The following is an 8,906-nucleotide window of genomic DNA, read 5'->3' as shown; positions in this document are numbered from 1 at the left end:
TTCAGTGCCTCCAGCAGAACATGTTAATACCTTGATTCCAAGGGTGTGGATCACAGAAATCTAAAATATCTCTGGTTTCGGTGGGAATACTGAAACCTTTCTCTGCTGACGCATATAGGAATTAAAGAAGCGTGACAGCTTTGAACCACTGTCAAAAGCTGCATGGAGCCTCATTTCTGGAACGATGTTCCATTTTCTGTGCTTTTAGCTTGGAAGCATCTCCTTCTTAAACCTCTCCTTTCCCCACATCCCCAGCCCACTGACTTTATTTCCACCCTTCTTTTGGTTCTGCCAGGAAAGCTTAGAATACCAGAAAAGTGGGGACTGAAAATAATTTAGGTAATATGACTACCATTACAGTTTGTTGACAAAACATAAAATTTTTCAACTTCAAGAGCTTGTTTTAATAAGATTTATAAGTCTCTCTATATATATGTACACATACACACACACACACACACACACACACATATATATATATATACAAATACCTTGCATACACCTCTTTTTTGTTTTTTGTTTTGAGAACAGGAATTTGCAAACTTGAAAAAGAAAGCTTGTCACTACAAGTGACTGGAGGTTTTTCTTCTAATTGATATTCTGAGTCTCCTGTTGGGGAAAAGTATCTGGTTGAAGAAAAATACTGGCTTTCATAAGCCCAGATGAATGAGTTTCCAACCTGTCATGGTGGTATCACTGAAGAATGCTTCAATGTTTCATTATCATTAATTCATGCATGTATTCAGAAAATATATATTTAGGACCTACTGTGTAGTAAGACTAGTGTCTAAGGGATAAAGAAAGTAAAATATATTTTTAAATAACATCTGTTTTAAGATCTTACAAACTTAGGAAGAAAATAAGAACTTGGTCAAGGGAGAATGCTTACATGCTCCAAGAGTATAGACAAATGTTTTTAGAATTAACAGGAGGGAGGCACTGATTATGATAATCAATGGTGATGGGGCTCGTGGTTTTAGGCATTGCTTTGGTAAGGAGACAGAAAGTGAGCTGGGCCTTGAAGTATGTTAAAGGCATGAGAATATTGAAATGGGAAAGGAAAGGAGGTGACTACAGAAATATTGTTAAGTCAGGGAACAAAGTTGAGGAACCAATGATTGTTGGTAATCTTGAATTGATAATGCCCAATTGCTCAATTATGCCATTTATTCTTGGTATTTTCAGGATATAGGGGATAGGCACAGAAAAGTCAGTAGGGATTCACCCAACCACCATGGAGAAGGTGGATGCCATTGAAGGTCAAAGAAAAGAACAAGCCAAACAGTGGTTGAAAAGGCAGAGTATGGAATCTAAGATGGAGAACATCAAAAAAGGGGGCAAAGGATCAACCAGCATCCTGCATTTAGAGGATTTTAGGGCATGGTGTCTTCAAGGATCAACTAGATGTCAGTGTAGGCAAAGAGAGGGATCAAAGCTAGCATGTATTTTATAGATGGACCTTGTGGTCTACAAAGGTAAATTCCGTAAGACACAGTGAGAAAAAGGAGTAGATGATGAGAGAGCAAACTCACAAAATTGCTGTGAGGAGAGAAATTCTATCTGAACGACTGACATAGTGGTTGAGAAAAATTGCAACAGGGGGCACAGTTAGAATTAGTAGGAGAACGACATTGATAATGTTAATGATACCGGATTGTAGATGAGTAAATACTCTGTGCCATTAGATTCAGATGCACTCTGGTAAGGAGACATGGCAGTTCTGGTGTGAACTCTGGTTTCCTTTCCTCTGATCCTTGGATGAAATGTGTTCAGTGGAAGGTAGGAAGGAGAACTTAGAAGAGTGTTTCTCACTGCTTGGGAAACATTAAGTGTAATAGGCAGAATAATTGCACTCTAGTGATGTCCACATCCTAATTCCCCCAGAACCTGCAATATTTTAACTTTCATGGCAAAAGGTACTTTGCAGATGTGATTAAATTAAGGATCTTGAGATGGAGAGATTATCCTGGATTATCCATATGGGCCCAATGTAATCAGAAGAGTTTTTACAAAAGGGAAAGAAGATGTCAGAAGACAGAGATAATGATAGACTGCTGGCTTTGATGTTGGAAGAAAAGACAATGAGTCAAGGAATGCCCATAGCTTTCAGAAGCTGCTAAAGGCAGGGGTATGGATTCTTCTCTGGAGCCTCCAGAAAGAATATAGCCCTATTGCCATTTTGATTTTAGCCTTACAAGACCCATTTTTGACTTCCTACCTTCAGAACTGCAACATAATAAATCTGTATTCTTTTAAGCCATTAAGCTTGTGATTTTTTTACAGCAATAGGAAAATAATGTAGTATATTGAGTTTAAGTCTAGTATTGAAAAATATGTTCTCAGGTAGTAACAGCTGGGTTAGCTGGGTCCAGGCTAGGCATAGATGATGAGTATATGTTTGGAGGCCCAAAGTAAGGTAAATGCAGCGGCAGGTATAGCCGTAATGGAAAAGGTGGGTGGGCAAGAGGGTAAAGTATAAGTGCTTATTTCAAAGAATTGCTCTGAGCAAAGAATGGAAAATTAGCAAAGCCACCTGTAATATAATAAGTGCTTAATATGTGGTTTAAAATAATTTGTTAGAATGTCGACTCTCCTGTGGGCAAAGTGATCTTTCGGAGGGTACAAATTTCAGAGAACACATCGTTTGGTCCTCCCTGAAGATGGTTCTATACAAGTAAGATTGGCTTATGTTGAATATCAAGGAAAGCCTTGAAGTGGGGAAAGAATTTGTGCATGAATAGGAATGGGTAGAAGGAAGGAGAGCAAATGATAGGCAGCCTCCTCACCCTGGTTTTACCTGTTTGCCTAGCTGACTGTTCTTATAAAAGCTTCAGGGTTTCTTTAGCACCAGCTGAGCATGTTACTTCATCCCACCTCCAGCTGCCTTTCTGAGTCACTGCCCAGTCTTTTACCCTGCAGCAATCGCCTGTGATCTCTTTGTGAGAGATCCTAGTGCTTACTCATCTCTGTGTTGCCAGCACCTAGTATAATGCCCAGTGAATAGCAAATGCACAATAAATCTTCACATAGTGAATGAACAAAGAGAAAAGGGTTTTACTCTTAAAACATTTAAAGACTCATTGCAATGAGAAAGTATTATAAAGCAGTAAATAAATAATCTTGTGCTCAAATTTGTGGTCCAGATGACTTGTTTTCAAAAACTGATCTACACCAGCCCACCAACTGAAACCAGGCCAGTAAAGATGCTTGGTCCCCAGCCGCCTCGATTCTAATTTAGTAGGTCTGGGCTAGCTCCCGGGCATGCGTCCCTTTAACAAACTCCTTAAGGATTCTGCTTTTCAGGCAGATCTGTGGACTCCTGATCTTGACCTTGTTGAAGACAGAGATTATTGCGGACTAGGATGATCAGAGAAAGATTCATTGGGAAGGTGGGATCTGAGTGGAATCTTCACGCATGGGCAAATTTGGATGGATAAAGAGAAGGACAAGCAGCCAGGTCAAAGATAGAGAGGAGCAGGCATTGTAAGAAGCAATATTTTGTATCATATAACTTTTCTACTCAAAAGACCATTCACAGTCTGTATCACTTATTTCTCCATATCAAGTCACTCTAAAGTTTAGTATCTTAAAAATAATAACCATTGTCTATTATTTCTCAGTTTCTGAGGGTCAAGAATTTGGGAGCAGCTTGGCTGGGCTTTCCTGACTGAGGGTTCTCAAGAAGTTGCAGTTAGATGAAGACTGGGGCTATGGTCATCTCAAGGGACCCTTTAGTCAGGCGTCTGGACTGAGAAAACTCATAAGGCTGGGAGGGTTGCAACAGCTAAGGCTCCCTGGGCTTCTTTCTCTCTCTCTATGCTGTCTTTTCCTATGATCTCCAAAATATAGTGGACTCAAAGTCACTGGGCTTCTTACATGGTGAGTTGAGCCTCTAAAAGCACATGTTCTGAGAGAGTGCACTAGTAGGAAAAGAGAAGCAGAGAGAAGGAGAAGCTAAATAGTAGGGCGCATGTGGCATCTAACCATGTATGCAAGTGAATAGGCAAATAGTAGATGGGCAAGGGAAAGTCATGGCCTTTGGAAGTTCTTAATTTAACTTTAGTCAAACACTAAGAGATTATTCAATGCTTCCTATTGGTCAACAATATGGATTGTATAGCACTCAGAAGAATCATCACAGAATATATCAACTTCAAAAGGTATGATTTAATATGGCTTTACCATGAGAAAATGTAATAAGGTCTTATTCTTTCAGCAGCTTTCAATCATCCTTGAAGGTCAAGGATCACATTTTTCAAAGAGTTGACTTTGTATCATGGGCATATCTGTATAACGTGAGCCAAAAGAGTTGAATTCCATGCCTACCACTTACCAAACTTTGGGATCCTGAGAAAATCCTTAACTTCCTTCCAGATTTAGCTGTTTATTTTTCCAACTTTATCTCCTGTCTCTTCCTCAAATTTCATAGTCTAATTTTTTAGATTACTTGCTCTTTCCTAAAAGGTGAAAACTCTCTCCTGCCTCTTTGCTTTTGCACAGGGTGCCTCTGCTTGAGACACTGCCCTTCCATACATTTCTCTGTCCCCCGCTGCTGTCCCTCTCTGCCTTTTAACTCTAGTACTGTCACAACTTCTTAGAACTGTCAGATCTCACTCCTGGAGGAGCCACTCTCTGCGGTCCTCTAGTGCCCTGCATGTATCTGTAGCACTGACCAGGTTTTGCTCTTTTCACTGCTAGACTCAGAGTTTTTTAAGGTCTAGTTCTTCATTATCTCTGGAATGTCTGCAATGAGCATATGTCTGGCATGTAATAATCTATCAATGAATATTTATTGTGTTTAAGTGAATAAATGAATTCATTAATACAGGAAGGAAGGAATTATTTTAAAGTGTGGATCATCCATTCTCTGGCTTGATAGGACACTGACATGTTGGACTTCAGAGGACATTGGCTAAATTATCTTTTCATGGTCATTGTCAAGATTGAAAAATAAACAGTAAGAAAAAACTTCCTTCAAAGTCCTCTGCCTTTTGAGTCTATTTTCTTCTTTCTTGCTGAGAATCCTGCACAAAGATAAAGATGAGCATGAGAAGCTTCCATGTTTATCTATTTGTATCAAATACATAGCCCCTTATATTTTTTGGCTATGAGAATGTGCACATCTTTTTCTACTCCAGAAAGATGCAGTGGAAAGAAAATTCATTTCTGGTGTGCTGTGAATATCTATTGAGTAAGAGTGATGGCAATCTGACTCTCATCTCACACTACCTCACTGGGATAGAGCAAAACAGGACTGGAAGCCTGACCATGTCTCTCTCTCACTGACAGCAAGGTGCTGAGCTAGAATGGGATCTGTGGCCACACAGATCTCAGTTACAAGCTGGCCACCACCACTCATTAGCAATTTGACTTCATTTTCCTAGGCTTCAGTTTCTTCATTCATGGTCTAAGGATTGTTATTTCATCATGCTCAGTTCAAAAAATGACAACTGTTGTAAAGTTTGAGATAACCTTAGCAACATCACCAAGCCTGTTTTCTAACATACAGTAGATGTTAATTTTCTCTTCTCTTCTCTCACAGGACGCTCTGGAGCAGAGAACATTCTAGCTACCCATGACAAAGAGGTCCTTTCTGGCTTTCCTTTTCTGCTTAGTAAGAGTAGGGCAGGGCTCTAGGTATCTTGTGTATTTCTCCCTGGCTCGCACACCCAGGCACACCCATCCACAGGGCTTTGTTTCTTTAACCTCAAGTTATGTAATGAGTAGGTGTAGGGCTCTGAATTCATTTCCACAAGGATCTGTTTCAATTGCCCTAGGGCTCTGAGTGTATGTATGACACAGAGAGGCCCATACATGTTTCCCACTTGAAGCACCAGGCCTGAATTAGGTCATGCAATCATTGCATTTTTTGCCATTTCACAAGCTGCTGCCATGGAAGCAGGTTAGGGCCACAGAGAATAAAGCAACAGCAGGTAGTTGCCTAACCTTGCTTTGTATTTACACATACATGTAGGTAGGGAAATGGTGACTCATTCCCCTTGCTGAAATACAGCAGAAAGGCCAGCTCTTAATGACTTTATTTCAAAGGTTACTTTCCCCCACCTTCAGACAAATCTTCTACAACTGAATTTAATCTCTGGAAGTATGAGACATGTTAGGAAGAGTATTAGCCTATTCTGACCCCTAGGGTACCATTGGGTAACAGCTAGTATCTAGATGGTATCCAAGGAGCCCTCCCTAAGCCTGTGGGAAGTGAAATAACCAATAGTTGATGATTCAAAGATTGGTGATAGTGCCCAACGAAAGTCACTACCTACTATGTGCCAGCTCCTTTGTCTATGTTTTCTCTAATCCTCATGTCAAATCAGCTAATTTTGCAACTGATGTGCAGGCTGATTAAGTAATTTCTCCAAAGTCCAATGGTAATAAGCAGCAGAGTTGAGAGACTGAAATCCAGACATTTCTAATGCCAAACTCCACATACCTTCTACTCTGTCACACTGCCTCCTTAAAGTTGAAATGGAGTGTTTTGCCTGCCCTGCTGCCCATGTCCCTAAAACTGCCACTAAATATGGGCCTTCTGGGACTATCAGTCACAGTGCCAGCGCCTCCTCTCTCTGCCACTAGGTGACTGTGTTCTAGAATTCTGACTCCCAGTAAATCACACTTGCACAGAAGGCAGTTGAAAGAATGTCAGTTTTGAAACACCCCTTATGAAATTCTGTTTCTTTGATTGCTCTTCCTGAGGTCTAGTTGTTTCCCTCTTTATTTGATTCTGGAAATTACTCACAGATAAACTTCCTGTAGATTTGTTTTGTTTTGTTTTACTTAAGTCAGTCTGGAACAGTTTCTGTTGCATGCAACCACAGACCCTTAATGAATGATGGATACACTGTGAAGCACTCAGATAGTAACTTAGTTGAATGCAGCATCTGCATATCTCAAGACAGTAGTTCTTAAATATTTGCAAACATTAGAGTCACTGGGAGAGTTTTAAACACTAATAGCTGGGACTAATCTTGAGAGTTGCTCATTCAGTAAATCTGAAGCAGGTCCTCAGAATTTGCATTTGTAAGGAGTTCCTGGGTGATACTGGCACTGCTAGTGCAGGTCTACACTTTGAGAACTACTGCCTTTTTCCAAATACATTCTATAGGATAGTAAATGCAAGTAATTGACAGGTGTGGATATGCCTTCCATGACATCTGCTCCTCTAAAAGCCATCAATGAATACGTAAATTCAGAGTTTAACTGCCAGAATGCATTGTCATCCTTTTCTCAAACTTAAATATTCCTGATTCTTTGTATATTCCATCTTTTTGTAGAAAACAAGACCCACATTTTTTCCAAGCCACATTTTTTTTTAAAAAAAAACAACTTAATTTTTTAGAGCAGATTTAAGTTTACAGAATAATTAAGCAGAAGAGTTTCCCTGTATCCCTTGTAAAGAATAATTAACCAGAGAGTTTCCCCGTACCCCTTGTTCCCACACGTCTGACCTACTCCACTGTGAACATGACATACTACAGTGATACATTTGCTAAAATCAATGAACCTAAGTTAACAAATCATTATTACCCAAAGTTGAGAGTTTAGGGTTCATTCTCGCTGTTGTTCCTTCTATAGATTTTGACAATACATAATGGTATGTATCCACCATTGTAGTATCAGTAATATCAGTAATACAGTATTACTGTAGTACAGAATAGTTTCATGCCCTAAAGATCTTCTGTGCTCTACCTATTTATCCCTCCTCCCCACTAACTCCTAGAGGAGTCTTTTTACTGATCTTTTTACTGTCTTCATAATTTGGCCTTTTCCAGAATGTCATATAGTTGGACTAATACAATATGTAGCCTTTTCAGATCGGCTTCTTTCAGTTAGTAATGAATTTAAAGTTCGCTTATACATTTAAAGTTCTTCCATGTATTTTTATGGCTTGGTAGAGCTATCTATCTTTTTTTAAGTGCTTAAAAATATTCCATTGCTTGGATGTGTCACATTTTATTTATCTAGTCTATTGAAGGATAGCTTGCTTGTTTCTAAGTTTAGGAATTTTTAAATAAACCTCTCATATAAATTGGTGTGAAGGGTTTTGTGCAGACAAACATTTTAACTCATTTAGGTAAATACCAAAGATTATGTTTGCTGGATCACAGGGTAAGAGTATGTTTTGTTTTGTAAGAAACAAACTAACTTCTTTTTTTTTTCTTTTTATTATACTTTAAGTTCTAGGGTACATGTGCACAACGTGCAGGTTTGTTACATATGTATACATGTGCCATGTTGGTGTGCTGCACCCATTAACTCATCATTTACATTGGGTATATCTCCTAATGCTTTCCCTCCCCTTAACTTCTAAAGTGGCTGTAACATTTTGCATTCCCACCAGCAATAAACGAGAGTTCCTGTAACTCCACATCCTTGCCAGCATTGGTGCTGTCAGTGTTCTGAACTTTGACCAATCTAATAGGTATGTAGCCGTATCTCGTTGTTTTAATTTGCATTTCTCTGATATACATTAGGGATCATCTGTTCATATGGTTACCCACTGCCTTATATTTTCTTTTGTAAAATGTCTGTGAAGGTATTTGGCCCATTTTTTTAATCAAGGCATTTGTTTTCTTATTGTGGAGTTCTTTGTATATTTTGGATAACAGTCCTTTATCAGGTGTGTCTTTTGCAAATATTTTCTCCCATTCTGTGGCTTGCATTCTCATTCTTTTGGCATTACCTTTCACTGATCAGAAGTTTTTAATTTTAATAAAATTTAGCTTATCAATTATATAATATCCAGGTTATTTCTTTCATGCTTTTGACTGCATATATAAATTCATCTTCACACCCAAGATCATCTAAATTTCTTCTGTTACCTTCTCGAAGTTTTACAGGTTTGTGTTTTACATTTAGGTCTGTAATTTAGTTTGAGTTAATTTTTGTAAAGG

Source organism: Homo sapiens, chromosome 8, assembly GCF_000001405.40.
Source record: "Homo sapiens chromosome 8, GRCh38.p14 Primary Assembly".
Taxonomy (NCBI): domain Eukaryota; kingdom Metazoa; phylum Chordata; class Mammalia; order Primates; family Hominidae; genus Homo; species Homo sapiens.
The sequence above is the reverse complement of the archived record's forward strand: the minus strand, read 5'-3'. Positions refer to the sequence as shown.